The sequence below is a fragment of the Homo sapiens genome, chromosome 4 (genome assembly GCF_000001405.40).
Source record: "Homo sapiens chromosome 4, GRCh38.p14 Primary Assembly".
Taxonomy (NCBI): Eukaryota; Metazoa; Chordata; class Mammalia; order Primates; family Hominidae; genus Homo; species Homo sapiens.
The window spans coordinates 159,526,565-159,546,749 of record NC_000004.12 but is presented as its reverse complement, the minus strand read 5'-3'; the positions used below and the strand labels follow the sequence as shown (position 1 = coordinate 159,546,749).

At 39.6% G+C, this 20,185-nt stretch overlaps 1 long non-coding RNA gene across 2 annotated transcripts in view, besides 1 other annotated feature; it reads right to left on the bottom strand.

Moving 5' to 3' along the window:
• LOC107986324 (uncharacterized) overlaps positions 1–6,427 on the bottom strand; it is a 487,144-nt gene extending 480,717 nt beyond the window's left edge. For both annotated transcript variants that reach the window (XR_001741911.2, XR_001741912.2), the window contains exon 1: positions 6,352–6,427. This is a non-coding gene — a long non-coding RNA (uncharacterized LOC107986324). The remainder of the gene's footprint in view (positions 1–6,351) is intronic.
• Positions 5,806–6,331: an enhancer, noted in NCBI's record as "OCT4-NANOG hESC enhancer chr4:160461571-160462096 (GRCh37/hg19 assembly coordinates)". NCBI's record gives its function as "activates a minimal SCP1, AML or CMV promoter by ChIP-STARR-seq in naive H9 embryonic stem cells {active_cell/tissue: H9 hESC(naive)}" and the evidence as "EXISTENCE:reporter gene assay evidence [ECO:0000049][PMID:30033119]".

The window sequence follows — 20,185 nt, the reverse complement described above, 5'->3', positions numbered from 1 at the left end:
AAAATATTAGGGAGTGCTATGGTTTGGATAGGGTTTGTTTGGACCCACCAAACAAAATTAAATTTGATCCCTAGTGCGAGATGTTTAGATCATGGGGGCTGCTGTCATGAATGGTTTGGTGTTGTCCTCACAGTAATGAGTGAGTTCTCGAACTGATTGTTTAAAAAAATCTGGAAACCTCCCTCTTCACTATCTTGCTCCCTTTCTTGCCATGTGACACAATGGCATCAATTCCCAATTGCCTTGCATTAGAAGTGGAAGAAGCCTGAGGTCCTTGCCAGATGCAGATGCCCGTGCCATGTTTCTTGTACAGCCTCCAGAACCACGAGCCAAATAAATCTATTTATACACTACCCAACCTCAGATATTTCTTTGTAGTGACACAAAAGACACTACAAAAGACACAAGTGACACAAAATACGATTTTGGTCTTTGTGATACTCTATCTCTATTAAATACAGTAAATTATGAGGAAGTAGTTGAGCTAGGAACTGCAGCTAGGTAGGGCCAAGGTGAATGTGCATACGATTAAGGAAGTTAGGGAAGAAGCATGTAGATAGATGTGTGAGCATGGACACACAGTCTGTGAACATTGGCACTGCAGGTTAATGTCTGCTAGACAGCATCCGTGCAGACATGTGATGGACAGCCTGTGGACAGGATGTCTTATCCTGTAGATGTCAGGCAGACTCTGTCCTTGACCACCCCAGTACTAGCACAGTAGATCCACGTGCCATTGCAGCAGAGATGGAGGCTATTCATGGGCCCAACAGCATGAGCTCTCTCTCAACAAGGCTGATATAACTACCGATACTGTTGAACATCCAACCAGTTGGCAGCAGAGACAGAAGCTGAGCTTTCACTATGGTATCATCTCTCACAGAGACCAATCAGCCACTTGGTGTCAGGTTTTTTACATCAGACTCCTTCCACACTGAGAAAGGCAGCAATTCATTCTGAAAGGAACACATTCTATGTGTGAATTTGCCTGCCCAGCCCATGAGGAGTCAATCTGATGTGTGGTATGAATGGCTCTGAGTGGTATATTGAGTAGTCTGAAGAGGACACTGTCAGTACTCTACTCATATCTGTTTTTCATCACTTTACCATGTTCATGCTCACAGGCTTCCAGGTGTGCTTTTATTCCCAACATCAAGCACCTCGGCCTTTTTAGGCTTCTGGAACCCACTCTGCCTGCCTGAATGAGAGAGCTGGAAGTGCCATGGAATTCACATTCTTCCAGGAACAGGTCTGTTGCTCCAACGTCAAGACAATTTCCAGGTGTGACCCCTATTGGGAAGCTCTCTGGAGTTCCCAGAGCTCCCCTAGGGAATTGATCCAAAGTTATCCTCTGTGAGACTTTGATTGATGCTATCTACTTGCTGGTCCTTCTCCTCCTCATCCAACATTCCCTGTCCCTTATGAGTATTCCCAGGAATACTCCCTAATTAATCACTTCATATTAATCTTTTTTTTTACTGCCTCGTTATAGCTGTGGCCCCATTCCAGCACAGGCCTGGAACATGATGAACACTCAGTAAACATTTGTTGATAAATACATGGTCATTTAGATGTAGCAACTGTGCTCAACAGAACCATGCATCCACTTGCAATGAATGGTTTCACAAAAGGTGTGATTTCTGGGCACTAGGGTTATCCGCCAAAAAATAATAAACTACTATGTCACCATCAACACAAACATTTACTTCTGGTAGCTTTTTTGCAGGTCAAATACGATTTCAGTCATTGCGGTACTCTATTAAATACAGTAAATTATGAGGAAGTAGTTGAGCTGGGAACTGCAGCTAGGTAGGGCCAAGATTAATGTGCATATGATAGAGCATATGCTTGAAAAAAAGCATCCAGAGAGACAAGAATTCCCTGAATGTGAAAGTAGATCAAAGGCACTTCTCACTTTCTTTAAAATTTATCTCAGAATCCAACTTTATTTGCAAATGATTATACCTTCAACTAGAAACCTCTTGTAGCTTAAAGGATCCTCCATAAGACTTACAAGAGGAATCTGAACTTCTAAACCACACCGGAACTAGAAAATGTTAGCTTGTACTATCCCGAACATTGACTCTTGAAACAAGCCTGGCTCTTGCAATTGTTAACAGGTGGCTCTTTAGAACTATTCATGTCTTCTCAACATATCCTGGTATCCTGAACTCCACAGGATAGGCTGTAATCATAAAAGGTAATTTCAGTTACTGTTTCACACTTGGTCCTAGGGTCACATAACTGTAAGTTTTGCTGCTTTAGATTCCCAAGTATTGGCTAGAGAAGCTCAAGACTGCTCTCTGTGTAAATGACAGGAGACAGGATGCAGGGAAATTCTGGGCAGAAGAGGGTGGGTCCCCAGCAAGGAACCCACCCTCAAACCTGGAACCACAGCCCAAAATGAAAACTTTCATTCCTGTTTTCCCACTCAAATGTTGCCTTTTCCAAAACCACCCATGGCCCTCCCAAGCCCCCATACTGCACCCAGAAAAACCCCAGGCTCAGCTGGCAGAGAGAAGAGAAGCAGCTGGATGTGGTAGAGAGAGGTGGCTTGACTTCAGAGGGATGGCTTGACAATGTAGCTTCAAAGAGGAATACAGCCAGGGATAGCCAGACTTCAGGAGAAAATTACCTTCCTGTTCTGTCCCCTTTTCGGCTCCCCCTCCTGCTGAGAGCCGCTTTTATCAGCAATAAAATCCCCCACATTTACCACCTTCAATTTGTTCATATGGCCTCATTCCTCCTGGCTGCTGGACAAGAACTCAGGTGCCATGAGTGCGGATACAAAAGGCTGTCACACTGACCCTCCACTGAGCTGTTAACACTTAAGCCATCTGTGGCAGCAAAGCTAAAAGAGCACTGTAACACTCCTGAGGCTTCAGGGGTCACGGGCGTCCCCCCAGATGCTGTCATGGGGTCCGCATGCAGTTTTGCTCCTGCCAGCGGCCAAAAGCACTAGCCCCAGCTCCTGCACCCCCTCACCTACATGCTCCCCATCCCATGAGGGATGAAGTGCTGCAGGTCCGAGCGAGTGGAATTCACCCCCTGCCAGTGCCAAAGCAGTCGGCTAGTTCTAGCACCTTGGCACTCCAGTTCCCACCCGTGAAGGGGTCAGGGAGATATCCTGCTTCACAAACAGCTCATCCTCAAGGAAAAAAGAGCACTAACGTATATTGTCCAAGTTAAAGAACAGCAAATCTTGTCAGTTCTACCTTCAAATAGAAATCCAGAATTTGACCTCTAATTGCTTCCTTCACCAACACAATTCGGATAAAAGTTACCATCATTTCTCTCCTGGATTTTGGTAATATGTTCTATCTCCATGTTTCTGCCCTTGACACATATAGTCTAATCTCAACACAGCACCAGTGTGTCCTTGTAAAATATGTCTGATGATGTCATTTCCTCAGCTGAAAATCACCCAATTGATTATCAGCTCCTTTAGAGTAAAATCCAAAGTACAAACAATGGTTTCAAAGCTCTACACCACCTGCTTCCCATCCCCTTTCTCTCAGTCCTCAATGTATCTTTCTCTCCCATACTCTCCTCTTCTCTCACCTTCCCTAAGCCACATTGCCCTCCTTACTGTTCCTTAAATACACCAAGCTCTACCTGCCTCTGAGCCACTGACCTTGCTGTTCCTCTCCAGGCATGCTCTACCCACTCCCTCCCGTAGCTGTAGGGCTCAATTCAATTTCTGACTTCCTCATGTCTTTCCTGCCCTCCCTAGACAAAATAGCAACACCCTCCTAGTCAGTACCCCCGAGTTTTTCACCCAGCCCTCCCTATTTCCCTCACCTTTCTTTTTCTCTATAACCTTTATCACTATCTGCCATTAGATATTTACTTTATTCGTTTACCATTTGTCCCACTACCCTGTAAGTTCCTTTAGGGCAGAGACTTGATACGTTTTGTTTACTTCTGTATCTCTAAGTCCTTGATGCCAGATACATTGTAGTCATTCAATAATTATTTGTTGGATGAATTTTTAAAATCTCTAGAAAAATACCATTGGCTTTCATTTCAACATTATTGAAACATATCCTCCACTTCCAAATTATTCCCACTGCTTTATAAGTGATCCCAGTGGCAGCAACTCATCCTAGATGTCCCTTCATCCTCAAATCTTCCATTTTCCTCATGCTTCAACATTTTTTCTGCCTTCATAGCCATCAAATATTAACAATCCTTCAAGTCCTCTGGGAACCACCTTTCTCCTCATCTGACTACACTGCCTTGCACATAAAAGGAGATCAGTTACTAGATGTTAAATGACTGAAGGTGGCAGTTTGCCAGCCTGTGATAATGAAACGGCCCTCCTGTCCCTCCAAGGCAGCATGCACACTTCAACAAGAGCCTCCAGGAGACCTTGCACCAATGCTTTAACACAAAAGTTATTGTTAAAAAAGAGGATGCCAAGATAAAGCAGGATGAGTTTAGACCCAGGGCAGGTAGTTCGGAAGGAGGACCTTGTAGTCTCCCTAAGGAAATTTATGAATACAACTGTCTGAATCACTTATTTAACAAATAATACGCTATTTGGCTTTTCATTTATCATGCTAAAGGAGATCCTATTTGTAAGAAACAGTAATGAATAAATTCTGCAAAATAATGTAAAGCTGAAAACATTTGCCCTCTTGTCCTTAAGTGCACAAAAGCTCACTCTGACCCAGAGAAGTAATTCCAAGGACAGAGGTATGCAAACATTTGCATGGAAAGAAAGCACACCATGTTTGGTTAACTTTTAGAGAAGTGCACACTTCTGCTTACAAGCTTTATATTTGATGTATGCAGAAGTTGTTACAAAAATAAATATGTCATAATAAGGAGGATCCTGGAGAAGAGTTCAGAACCATCTTTAAATGCAAAAGTATCCACTATATTAAATCCTAGAGATCCACTGTGAAAGATTGTTTCTATAGTGAATAATACTGTATTGTACACTTAAAATTTTGTTAAAAGGGTAAATCTCATGTTAAGTGTTCTGACACAATATTTTCTAAAAGGACACGGTATTGTGGGTCCACAATGTATGTTGTTGTGTTGATGTAATGGTGATTTATGTTGATTAGAAATTCTATAAAAACAAAATAGTAAGTACTATTGTTACTGCTAAAAGCAACTTTACCAGGGAATAAAAGTGGATTCTCAACAAACTCTGTGCTTGGTATTGCACTGGGAACTATAAATTCCAGGCTGGAAAAGTATATAATACACAGAAAATGGAAAGAATGGGATGAGAATGACAAGTAACTGCTGAAGAGGGATCTTAAAACTGCTTTGACCTGAAAACCATTTCAGAAACAAGACTAGTGATTTACAAACTGAAACACAGATATAAAAATATATTTGGGTCATCTATTTTCCTAGATCTTTCTGACAACACTGCCATCTGGAGACTTGGTTTGACCAAGGACACGAGATCTTAAGGAAACTTAGATACCGACACTGAAAAGGTTGCTGATGAAGTCCTACTTCTCTCATTACTCTTATGCTGTTTATCACTAGAGCAAAGAGACAACAAAACACTTGAAAACTGATTTTAAAAAAATTCTAGCTCTGCAAAGTTTCAAGAGTCAAAATAAAGAAAGTCTATAATATTCTAACACAAAATATGGAGCAGTTAGCTGAAGTTTGTGCATTCAGAGGATGTTATTATCTTAGGAGAATTAAGAAAATAATCATAATATACTAAAATCATTTGTAAGAATGCTGGTATTCCTACAAGTGTTCTTTCATTTATAAATTTTATATTCAAGTAAACTGATTTGCTTCCAATCAGCAATACGGTGATTCAAGTAGGATTAAAAGACCTGAGAATTAAAGCATTATGCAATAAACCCATGTTACAAACTTGCACATGAACTCCCTGAATTCAAAACGTTTTTAAAAGACTTGAGAAATAGAGAGCAAATATAACTCATTTCCCCAGGCCTTCCACCACCTGCTCACATAGAACATCAACAATCTCTGAGTTCTTTCCCCAAGTATCCTTGCCAGGCCCCAAGAGGGTTTCAGGAGTGTTTGCAGAGAATCTGATGAGCGCTCCTGCGTAACAATGCTACATCTGCTTGACGCCCCACTCCCACTGGGCTTGATGCTGCTACCACTGTGAATAGTTTTTAAATGACACCTCTTTCCTTGCTAGTCTGCCCTGCAATTTCTGATCTGTCTGCCAGGCATAGCTGCCATTTCTCAGTAGGTCATGCTGGGCATCACCACCACCTAGAGCATAAGCTTCCCAAAGACAAAACTTAAGTGGCGGTCAGTGGTGAAGAAGATCTTCAACCTTGTTTTGTGGTATAGTCACTGAGACAGATGTCAAAGTAGAACTATTTCTTCACTGACCTTATGGAAAAGTCCTGTCCCCAAAAGTTCTTCAGTCTCTTATTCAAACAGACCCTGTAGTCTCCAAGCTGTCTGTAATCTTGCTCAAGTAAAAACTTGGTTAAGAGTTTGGGGGCTGATCCAGGAAGAATGCCAAGTAATAAGTCACACTGATATCAGAGCACTGAGTTATCTGAAGGTCACCATAGATTTCAGCAATGCTGAATTTCATGTTGAAACTGAAAGACTGACACTCCTGTGCTTTTGTGTTCCAGTCTTAAGTACCAAAAACATGCTGTTTTGCTCACCAAATGTCTTAGAGAGATTTTACTTAAAATAGCTTTTTCTGACTTGATTGCTTTTGTTTAACTTTTATTTAACCCCTGTCTCCCTTGTATTTTGTCACTGGCTCCTGTGGCATGGCTAGAGAATAAGTATCAGTGAAAGCACCCAGGCTATTCTCATCACTTTCTAGTCCTTCCCTATTGAGATATTCTTATTGGGCCAGCTTCTGTGTTTTACTCCCTCTTTGTTCACTAACAGAGACTCTTTTCATTTCCAAAATGTTCCAGATGCTTTTGCTTAAATGTTCTCCTGGCAGTTTCCTTCACCAGACCTCCAGGTACCCCCAGTAACGTATGCAGGTCAGATTCAAGCTGGGGCCTCAGTGAAACATGACTGAGGTATTGTGTGGGCCACCAAATCTATTAAGACAAAAAGATGCAATACAAATTCAAAACAGGGTTTAAAGTTTGCCGACTCTGGGTACTTAGGGAGTTATTTGAGGATATAAAGGCTTAGTGCTTTGTAATCACCAATTAGATCTATCAAGGGTTTTATCAGACAAAATCTATCAGAAATTTTTATAGCCTATCCAAAGAACAACAAATAGGAAAAGCAGAGGTAAAAGAAAGTTAATGTTAGGAGACATGGGTTCTGTTTCCACCGATGGCACTAAGAAATCTGAACTCAGGCATGTCACTTTAACACTTTGGTCCCTATTTATCACACAAAAGAACTAGGCTGAGTGACTGTCCAGGACCCTTTCAGTTGTAATAGTTTATTTCAGTAATAATATAATGGTTCTCTAAGTAACCTGGAAAAGGTGGCTGGTCATAAATAAAAGAAAGAAACAGAGCTGCGCCTGGGTTAGTAAGAGGATTGTACAAAGCAGGGGATGTAGGCAGAAAGTGGTTTACACAGCTGACAGTAAGAAGTGAGAGGATGGCAGCCAGCAGGAAGGCACAGGAGCTGCCGTTTCAGTGCAAAATTTATATGAAAATGTGAAAACTGGCACACTGTCCAAACAGCAGTATTTCACTCAATGTAGTAAATTCAAATCAGATAAAAATCACTTTCTCAGAAATCTAAAATACCATATAGATGTTAAAATTCGCTTCATGGATAACATTACAAGTGTGTTTTTTGAGATTAAAGTGCAACTTACAGGGACTCTAGCTAATTTTAAGAAAGAATAAATCGATTTCATGTGGTTCCTTATTTGGTTTAGGATATCCTTTTTTAAAATGTCATCTCGTAGGCAATGGATTTTTCACTTAATCCCAGTGAATGCCAACCATATCAGCAGCTGCCAAAGACAACTCTACCCAGCCTTTTATGTGTGAGAAACCAGCAAGTTAAGCACAGGAGAATCAGCACTTAGAAAGTAGTAATACTTTGGAAGTTTTGTGGAGAAAAAATAAATTCCTTGGGTTTTTTTGAAGGGAAAGATACACACACACGCGCACACACACGCACGCACACACACACACACACCCTCTCCCCTGGCTTGCTTATGAGAGAAATTCTTGCAATCTCTCGTTAGAGAGAGACCGGGGATCTTCCTTGTCCCTGAAAGACAAAAAGGACACTCCCTGTGCCTTCTTCCTTGACTTGCTTCAGTGATAACAGCAGACCAGAAGCCTCACCCTGCATGGAAGATGTAAAAATTCCTCTTGCTTGAACAAAAGAGTGAGCACCCCTAGACCTTCTTCCCTGGCTTGCTCCAGAGATAGATTTTTGCAGTCTCTTATTAGAGGAGGCCTGGGAACCTTCTTGCTCCTGCAAAAGAAAGGGAGCACTCTCTTTCCTTGGCTTGATTTAGGGGTAACTCCAGATCAGAAGGCTCTTCCTGCAAAGAGGGTGTGAAACTCCTGCTTACTTGAAGATACTCCCCATGACTTCTTCCCTGGCTTTCTCCTAGAATAAATTTCTGCCATCTTTCACTAGAGAGAGGATAGGGAACATCTCCATTCCTTAAAGGGAAAGGGAACACTCCCTACATCTTCACTTTTTGTTATTTTATTTTAGATTCAGAGAGTACATGTGCAGGTTTACACATGGATGTGTCGTGTAACAATGAGGTTTGGGCTTTTAGTGAACATGTCACCCAAATAGTGAACATTGTATCCAATAAGTAATTTTTCAACCCTCACTCCTTCCCAGCCTCCCTTCTTTTGGAGTCCCCAGTGTCTGTTATTTCCATCTTTATGTCTATGTGTATTCATTATTTAGCTCCCATTTATTAAATGAGAACATGAGTAAGTAATAATTGATTTGATTTTCTGTTTCTGAGTTATTTCACTTAGGATAATGGCCTCCAAGCTGCATCCATGTTGCTGCAAAGGACATGATTTCATTTTTCATAGCTGCATAGTATTCCATGGTGTATATGTACCACGTTTTCTTTCTCCAATCAACCAATGATGAATACTTAAGTTGATTCCATGAATTTGCTATTAAGAATAGTGCTGCAATAAATATATGAGCTCCCTACACCTTCTTCTGGGCTTGCTCCAGCAATAATTCCAGCCCTACATTCTCTCTGTGGAAAGAGGTTGGAGGCCTCTTCCAGCAAGTATGAAAGAGAAAGCACATTCCCCTCCCCACTTCCACTGGCCCTGTACCTTCTTTCCTGGCTTACTCCAGAGATAAATTCCTGAATCTCTCATTAGAGGGAGACAGGAGGACTACTCCATGCCTGAAAGAGAAAGTGGGCACTCCTTGTGCCTTTCTCCCTGACTTGCTTCAGTGTTAACTCCAGACCAGAAGATTCCCCCTGCTGGAAGATTATGAGACTTTGCTTTCTCAAACAGGAGAGTGGGACTTCCTGTACCCTCTTCCCTGGCTTGTTCTGGTGATACATCCAGATCCAAAGACTCTCCTTGGAAATAGTTTCTGCATGCTCAACTCTTACAGCTTTCATCCAAAGGACTAGCTCCTAAATCACCTAGCTGTAGTTGTTGACAGAGTTCTGCACTCCTGAGTCTCTTAGGCCACAGAGAACAAAAAGGTGACTTTTAAACTTGCAAATATTTAATAGCTATCTCCGCAGGTCCAAAATGAGTAGTCTGATCAAGAGCATAGGTATGTACCTCAGAACTTCTTTGTGTAGGGCAGAACAAGTAGGAGATAAACTCTGGCACTCAGCTTCTCTGCAAAGAAAGAGGGAACTAGAACACATATCTAACATTCCAAATGTCTCCATCTGCATCCCAAAGGACTGGTTTCTATTCCATCTCTCTAAAGACAATAGAACAGCTTGACACTCTTTAATTTCCTAGAGGCCACTATGAACAAAGACAGCAGGTAGGGCAAGTACAAAGAGTTTAGAGGCATCTAGAATCCCTGGTTAGGCTGATTGAAGAGTAATGTCTCCTAAATGAGACCAGTCTAAGAAGAATGGTAAAGGTGGTTCTTTTATCCAATGTACAGAAACCATCATGAAGAGTCAAGCAAAACAAGAAAACAGAGACATATGTTCCAAATAAAAGAACAAAATATATCTCCAGAAGCCAGCTCTAAAGAAATGAAGATATGTTAGTTACTTGACAGAGAATTCAAAAGGACATTTATAAAGATACTCAGGTAAGGAAAGCAATGCATAAACAAATTAAGCACATCAACAAAGAGATTAAAAAATATTTTAAAGTACCAAACATCAAGCGGAATAACCTAATAATTAACCTCAAGAATTCAATAGAGAGAGTCAATAGCATACTAGATCAAGTAGAAGAAGGAATTAGTAAACTTGAAGATAGGTCATTAAAAATTATCCAATCTGAGGAGTAAGAAGAAAAAGAACAAAAAATTGAGTGGCAATAACCTAAGGGACCTATGTGACACTATTAAGTGGAATAACATATGCATTATTGGTGTACCAGAAGAAGAAGAGAGAAAGGGACATAAAAATATATTCAAAGAAATAATGGCAGAAAACTTCCCAAGTCTGGGAAAAAAAAAACAAAAATCCAGATCCAGGAAGCTCAACAGCCATCTAATCAGATAAATACAAACATACCCATACTGAAATGTGGTATAATCAAATTGTCAAAAGTTAAATACAAAGAAAGAATATTGGAAAGCTTCAAGGGAAAAGCAACTTGTTACATACAAGGGGACTCCTATAAATCATCAGTGGGTATTCCAGCAGAAACCCTGCAGGACAGAAGGAATAGGGTGATATATTCAAAAGGCTGGAAGAAAAACTTCCAGCCAAGGAAGAAAAACTTCCAGCCAAGAATACTATACCCCTCAATCCTGTCCTTAAAAAACGAAGAGAAGAGCAAAACTTTCTTAAACTAAAGCTGAGGGAATTTATCACCACTAGACTGCTCTTACAACAAATGATAAAAGGAGTCCATCAAACTAAATAGCAACATAAAAATATGTGAAAATATAAAACTCACTGGTAAAAGTAAGAATATAGTCAAACTCAGAATACTCATTTACTGTAATGGTGGTATAAAAATCAATTATATACTTCTAGTAGGAAGGTAAAAAGAAAAAAACTTAAAAACAACTATAGCTACAAAAATTTCAGGGATAAAAACTATAAAAGATTTTTTTAAAGTGTCAACAGAAACAAACTGAAGGCAAGTAAAATTGTAGCATTTGCATAAGTGATAAAGTTAAGTCATTATCAGCTTAAAAAGCAAAAATTCTTAGTGGATACACAAAAGATTGAAAGAAAGGATTCAAGGCATACTACCACAGAAAATCATCAAATCACAATAGAAGACAGCAAGAGAGGAAGAGATGAACAAAGGGTCTACAAACTAACCAGAAGACAATTAACAAAATGGCAATAGTAAGATCTAAGTTATCAATAATTACTGGATGGATTAAATTTTTCAATCCAAAGACAGCAAGTGGCTAAATGGAACAAAACCTAAATATATCCTAACTATATACTGCCTATGAGAGACTCGGTTCACCTCTAAGCACACACATAGACTAAAAATGAAAGGAAGAACAAAGATATTCTTTGCAAATGGAAACTAAAAGAGAATGAGGAGAGCTATACTTAGAAAAGATAGACTTGAAGTTGAAAGCTATAAAAAGAGACAAAAAGGTCATTATATAATGATAAAGGGGTCAATATACCAAGCAGACATAAGAATTGTAAGCATACATTCACTAACATTGGAACACCTAAATATATAAAGCAAATATTAATAGATATGAAAGGAGAGAAAGACTGCAATCAATAATAGGAGGAGACTTCAATACCCCACTTTCAACAATGGACAGAGCATCCAGACAGAAAATCAATAAGGAAACACTGTATTTCAACAACACTTTAGACCAAATGAACCTAACAGATATTTACAGAACATTTCATCCAACGGCAGCCAAATACACATTCCTCTCAAGTCCACAGAAAACATTCTCCAGAATAGATAATATGTTAGTCCACAAAACAAGTCTCAACAAATTTAAGAAGAATGAAACAGAAAGACAGCCCAAAAAAAATCCATATATTTATGGTCAGTCAAATTTTGGCAAAGGTATCAAGATCACACAATGAGGAAAGGAAAAAGTCTCTAATAAATAGTATTAGAAACACTGAATATCCACATGAAGAAGAATGAAATTGAACCCTCATAACATATACAAAATCAGCTCAAAATGAACAAAATACTTAAATGTAAGATCTGAAACTGTAAAGTTTCCTGGAAGAAAACATACGACAACATCTCCATGTTGTAAGACTGGGCAATAATTACTTGGATAGGACTCTAAAAGCACAGGCAACAAAAGCAGAAATAGACACATGGGACTATATCAAACTAAAAAGCTTCTGCACAACAAAGGAAACAATTAACAGAATGGAGAGGCAATTCATGGGTTGGGGAAAATATTTGTAAACCATACATCTGATAAGGGGCTAATATTCAAAATATATAAGGAACTCAAACAACTCAATAGCAATAAAACAAATAACCAAATTTAAAAATAGGCATAGGATAGGAACAAATCCAGTCTACGGCTCCCAGCATGAGCGATACAGAAGACAGGTGATTTCTGCATTTCCAACTGAGGTAACAGATTCACCTCACTGGGACTTGTGGGAGAGTGGGTGCAGCCCACGGAGTGTGAGCCAAAGCAGGGTGGGGCATCGCCTCACCTGGGAAGTGCAAGAGGTTGGGGAATTCCCTTTCCTAGCCAAGGGAAGCCGTGGCAGGTGGTACCTGGAAAATTGGGATACTTCCACCCTAATACTGTGCTTTTCCAATGGTCTTAGCAAACAGCACACCAGGAGATCATATCCCATGCCTGGCTCGGAGGGTTCCATGCCCATGGAACCTTGCTCACTGCTAGCACAGCAGTCCCAGATCAAACTGCAAGGTGGCAGCAAGGCTGGGGAAGGGGCATCTGCCATTGCTGAGGCTTGAGTAGGTAAACAAAGTGGCCGGGAAGCTCGAACTGGACGGAGCCCACCACAGCTCAAGGAGGCCTGCCTGCCTCTGTAGACTCCACCTCTGGGGCGCAGGGCATAGCTGAACAAAAGGAAGCAGGAACTTAAACATCTCTGTCTGACAACTTTGAAGAGAGTAGTGGTTCTCCCAGCACAGAGTTTGAGATCTGAGAACAGACAGACTGCCTCCTCAAGTGGGTCCCTGACTCCCAAGTAGCCTAACTGGGAGACATCTCACAGTAGGGGCTGACTGACACCTCATACAGCCAGGTGCCCCTCTGAGACGAAGCTTCCAGAGGAAGGATCAGGCAACAACATTTGCTGTTCTGCAATATTTGCTGTTCTGCAGCCTCTGCGGGTGATACCCAGGCAAACAGGGTCTGGAGTGGACCTCCAGCAAACTCCAGCAGACCTGCAGCTGAGGGTCCTGAATGTTAGAAGGAAAACTAATAAACAGAAAGGAATAGCATCAACATCAACAAAAAGACATCCACACCAAAAGCCCATCTGTAGGTCACCATCATCAAAGCCCAAAGGTAGATAAAACCACAAAGATGGGGAGAAACCGAGCAGAAAAGTAGAAAATTCTAAAAATCAAAGCGCCTCTTCTCCTCCAAAGGAACGCAGCTCCTCGCCAGCAACAGAACAAAGCTGGATGGAGAATGACTTTGACAAGCTGACAGAAGTAGGCTTCAGAAGAACAGTAATAACTCACTTCTCTGAGCTAAAGGAGGATGTTCGAACCCATCGCAAAGAAGCTAAAAACGTTGAAAAAAATTAGACGAATGGCTAACTAGAATAAACAGCATAGAGAACACCTTAAGTGACTTGATGGAGCTGAAAACCATGGCACAAGAATTACGTGACGCATGCACAAGCTTCAGTAGCCGATTCGATCAAATGGAAGAAAGGGTATCAGTGATTGAAGATCAAATGAATGAAATGAAGCGAGAAGAGAAGTTTAGAGAAAAAAGAGTAAAAAGAAACGAACAAAGCCTCCAAGAAATATGGGACTATGTTAAAAGACCAAATCTACATCTGATTGGTGCACCTGAAAGTGACAGGGAGAATGGAACCAACTTGGAAAACACTCTTAAGGATATTATCAAGGAGAACGTCCTCAACCTAGCAAGGCAGGCCAACATTCAAATTCAGGAAATACAGAGAATGCCACAAAGATACTCCTCAAGAAAAGCAACCCCAAGACACATAATTGTCAGATATACGAAGGTTGAAATGAAAGAAAAAATGTTAAGGGCAGCCAGAGAGAAAGGTCGGGTTACCCACAAAGGGAAGCCCATCAGACTAACAGCAAATCTCTCAGCAGAAACTCTACAAGCCAGAAGAGAGTGGGGGCTAACATTCAACATTCTTAAAGAAAAGAATTGTTAACCCAGAATTTCCTATCCAGCCAAACTAAGCTTTATAAGTGAAGGAGAAATAAAATCCTTTACAGACAAGCAAATGTTGAGAGATTTTGTCACCACCAGGCCTGCCTTACTAGAGCTCCTAAAGGAAGCACTAAACATGGAAAGGAACAACCGGTACCAGCCACTGCAAAAACCTGCCAAACTGTAAAGACCATCAAGGCTAGGAAGAAACTGCATCAACTAATGAGCAAAATAACCAGCTAACATCACAATGACAGGATCGAATTCACACATAACAATACTAACCTTAAATGTAAATGGTCTAAATGCCCCAGTTAAAAGACACAGACTGGCAAATTGGCTAAAGAGTCAAGACCCATCAGTGTGCTGTATTCAGGAGACCCATCTCACATGCAGAGATACACATAGGCTCAAAATAAAGGGATGGAGGAAGATATACCAAGCAAATGGAAAAACAAAAAAAAGCAGGGGTTGCAGTCCTAGTCTCTGATAAAACAGACTTTAAATCAACAAAGATCAAAAGAGACAAAGAAGGCCATTACATAATGGAAAAGGGATCAATTCAACAAGAAGAGCTAACTATCCTAAATATATATGCACCCAATACAGAAGCAGCCAGATTCATAAAGCAAGTCCTTAGAGACCTGCAAAGAGACTTAGACTCCCACACAATAATAATGGGAGACTTTAACACCCCACTGTCAACATTAGACAGATCAATGAGACAGATGGTTAACAAGGATATCCAGGACTTGAACTCAGCTCTGCACCAAGCAGACCTAATAGACATCTACAGAACTCTCCACCCCAAATCAACAGAATATACATTCGTCTCAACATCACATCACACTTATTCCATAACTGACCACATAGTTGGAAGTAAAGCGCTCCACAGCAAATGTAAAAGAACAGAAAATATAACAGTCTCTCAGATCACAGTGCAATCAAATTAGATCTCAGGATTAAGAAACTCACTCAAAATCACACAACTACATGGAAACTGAACAATCCGCTCCTGAATGACTACTGGGTAAATAGCGAAATGAAGGCAGAAATAAAGATGTTCTTTGAAACCAATGAGAACAAAGGCACAACGTACCAGAATCTCTGAGACACATTTAAAGCAGTGGGTAGAGGGAAATTTATCGCACTAAATGCCCACCAAAGAAAGCAGGAAAGATCTAAATTCGACACCCTAACATCACAATTAAAAGAACTAGAGAAGCAAGAGCAAATGCATTCAAAAGCTAGCAGAAGTCAAGAAATAACTAAGATCAGAGCAGAACTAAAGGAAATAGAGACACAAAAAACCCTTCAGGAAAAAAATCAATGAATCCAGGAGCTTGTTTTTTTTTTTTTTTTGAAAAGATCAACAAAATTGATAGACCGCTAGCAAGACTAATAAAGAAGAAAAGACAGAAGAATCAAATAGACACAATAAAAAATGATAAAGGGGATATCACCACCGATCCCGCAGAAATACAAACTACCATCAGAGAATACTATAAACACCTCTACTCAAATAAACTAGAAAATCTAGAAGAAATGGATAAATTCCTGAACACATGCACCCTCCCAAGACTAAACCAGGAAGAAGTTGAATCCCTGAATAGACCAATAACAGGCTCTGAAATTGAGGCAATAATTAATAGCCTACCAAGCAAGAAAAGTCCAGGACCAGACAGATTCACAGTCGAATTCTACCAGAGGTACAAAGAAGAGATGGTACCATTCCTTTTGAAACTATGGCAATCAATAGAAAAATAGGGAATCCTCCCTAACTCATTTTATGAGGCCAGCATCATCCTTATACCAAAGCCTGGCAGAGACACACACACAAAAAAGAGAATTTTAGACCAATATCCCTGATGAACATCGATGCAAAAATCCTCAATAAAATACTGACAAACCGAATCCAGCAGCACATCAAAAAGCTTATCCAACATGATCAACTGGGCTTCATCCCTGGGATGCAAGGCTGGTTCAACATACACAAATCAATAAACGTAATCCATCATATAAACAGAACCAAAGACAAAAACCACATGATTATCTCAATAGATGCAGAAAAGGCCTTTGACAAATTCAACAACACTTCATGCTAAAAACTCTCAATAAACTAGGTATTGATGGGATGTATCTCAAAATAATAAAAACTATTTATGAAAAACCCACTGTCAGTATCATGCTGAATGGGCAAAAACTGGAAGCATTCCCTTTGAAAACTGGCACAAGACAGGGATGCCCTCTCTCACCACTCCTACTCAATATAGTGTTGGAAGTTCTGGCCAGGGCAATTAGGCAGGAGAAGGAAATAAAGGGTATTCAATTAGGAAAAGAGGAAGTCAAATTGTCCCTGTTTGCAGATGACATGATTATATATCTAGAAAACCCCATTGTCTCAGCCCAAAATCTCCTTAAGCTGATAAGCAACTTCAGAAAAGTCTCAGGATACAAAATTAATGTGCAAAAATCACAAGCATTTCTATACAACAATAACAGACAAACAGAGAGCCAAATCGTGAGTGAACTCCCATTCACAATTGCTTCAAAGAGAATAAAATACCTAGGAATCCAACTTACAAGGGATGGGAAGGCCCTCTTCAAGGAGAAATACAAACCACTGCTCAACAAAATAAAAGAGGACACAAACAAATGGAAGAACATTCCATGCTCATGGGTAGGAAGAATCAATATCATGAAAATGGCCATACTGCCCAAGGTAATTAATAGATTCAATGCCATCCCCATCAAGCTGCCAAGGACTTTCTTCACAGAATTGGAAAAAACTACTTTAAAGTTCATATGGAACCAAAAAAGAGCCTGTATTGCCAAGACAATCCTAAGCAAAAAGAACAAAGCTGGAGGCATCATGCTACCTGACTTCAAACTATACTACAAGGATGTAATAACCAAAACAGCATGGTATTGGTACCAAAACAGAGATATAGACCAATGGAACAGACCAGAGGCCTCAGAAATAATACCACACATCTACAACCATCTGATCTTTGACAAACCTGACAAAAACAAGAAATGGGGAAAGGATTCCCTATTTAATAAATGGTGCTGGCAAAACTGGCTAGCCATATGTAGAAAGCTGAAACTGGATCCCTTCCTTACACCTTATACAAAAATTAATTCAAGATGGATTAAAGACTTAAATGGTAGGCCTAAAACCATAAAAACCCTAGAAGAAAACCTAGGCAATACCATTCAGGACATAAGCATGTGCAAGGACTTCATGACTAAAACACCAAAAGCAATGGCAACAAAAGCCACAATTGACAAATGGGATCTAATTAAACTAAAAAGCTTCTGCACATCAAAAGAAACTACCGTCAGAGTGAACAGGCATCCTACAGAATGGGAGAAAATTTTTGCAATCTACCCATCTGACATAAGGCTAATATCCAGAATCTACAAAGAACTTAAACAAATTTACAAGAAAAAATCGAACAACCCCATCAAAAAGTGGGCAAAGGATATGAACAGACACTTCTCAAAAGAAGACATTTATGCAGCCAAAAGACACATGAAAAAATGCTCATCATCACCGGCCATCAAACAAATGCAAATCAAAACCACAATGAGATACCATCTCACACCAGTTAGAATGGTGATCATTGAAAAGTCAGGAAACAACAGGTGCTGGAGAGGATGTGGAGAAATAGGAACACTTTTATGCTGTTGGTGGGACTGTAAACTAGTTCAACCATTGTGGAAGACAGGGTGGCAATTCCTCAAGGATCTAGAACTAGAAATACCATTTGACCCAGCCATCCCATTACTGGGTATATACCCAAAGGATTATAAATCATGCTGCTATAAAGACACATGCACACGTATGTTTATTGTGGCACTATTCACAATAGCAAAGACTTGGAACAAACCCAAATGTCCATCAGTGATAGACTGGATTAAGAAAATGTGGCACATATACACCACGGAATACTATGCAGCCATAAAAAATGAGTTCATGTCCTTTGTAGGGACATGGATGAAGCTGGAAACCATCATTCTGAGCAAACTATCGCGAGGACAGAAAACCAAACACTGCATGTTCTCACCCATAGGTGAGAAGTGAACAATGAGAACATGTGGACATAGGTTGGGGAACATCACACACCGGGGCCTGTTGTGGGGTGGGGGGAGGGGGGAGGGATAGCATTAGGAGAAATGCCTAATGTAAAGGATGAGTTAATGGGTGCAGCACACCAACAAGGCACATGTATACATATGTAACAAACCTGCACGTTGTGCACATGTACCCTAGAACTTAAAGTATAATAAAAAAAACTGGGCAAAGGATCTAAATAGACATTTCTTAAGAAATACTAATGGCCAACAGATATATATGAAAAAAACCCAACATTTCTAAACATCAGAGAAATGTTAATTAAAACCACAATGAGATATAATCTCACACCTGTTAGAATTACTATTATCAAAGAATAATAGCAAATGTTGGCAAGGATATGGATAAAAGGGAATCCTTATTAACTATTGGTGGAAGTGTAAATTAGTACAGCCTTTTTGGAAAATAGTATAGAGGTTCCTCAAAAAACTAAAAATATATACACACTTCTGGGTATATATTTAAAGGAATTGAAATCAATATGTCAAAGAGATATCTGCACTCCCTGGTTTATTTTAGCATCATTCACAATAGGCAAAATATGGAAGCAACCTAATTGCTCATCAACAGATGAATGGATAAAGAAAATGTGGTACATATATACACAATGGAATACTATTCAGCCTTTAAAAAAGGAGATTCTGTCACTCACAACAACATAGATGGAACTGGAGAACATTATGCTAAGTGATGTAAGTCAGACATAGAAAGACAAATATTATGATCCCACTCTTAATGTGGAATCTAAAAAAGTTGATCTCATAGAAACAGAGATTAGAAAGGTGGTTACCAGACACTAGGAAGAGGAAAAGGATAGGGAAAGGGAAAATGTTGATCAAAGGGTACAAAGCTTTAGTTAGACTGGAGAAATAAGTTTTAATGATCTATTGAACTGCATGGTGACCACAGTTAATAATAATGTATCATATATTATAAAACTGCTAAAAGAATTTTTAATGTTCCCACCACAAAAAAGGGTAAATTGGTGAGCTGATGGATATGTTAATTAACTTGACTGAATCTTTCTGTAACGTATTCATAGATCAAAACATCATATTGTACCTCCATAAATAACAATTATGTGTCAATTAAAAATAAAATTTAAAAAAATTTTAAAGATACACACACACACACACACACACACTCTCTCTCTCTCTCTCTCTCTCTCAACATATTCAGTCTTCCTGACAAATGTTTTGCTCATCTTCAAGGAATCCAGAGAGATTTTCAAGGCCTCAACTAGAAGTATTGAAACCAGAAGAAAACAAAATTAGTCAAAATATTGGCAGGGCTGATAATTAGCTGTATATAGAATCATAAACCTTAAAAGAGTACAGTAAGAGAGGTGTTTTGATTTATAGTAACATGTACATGACCATTAAAATTGGGAAGCCCAGACACAACGGTAACTTATGTGGTTAGATTTGTCTTTACTATTCAGCACATTTTATGGTTTAAGAAAGGAAATTGGAATTCAAATGTGAATTTCAGTTTCGTGGCACCTTATTAAAATTATAATGAAAAATTCAATTCCTCTGCTTGAAACATCAGCATATAATGACCTGCACAAAGGGAAAGAAAAAGTACAAAAGAGAAAAAATCCATTTCACTATAATAAAGTAGAAA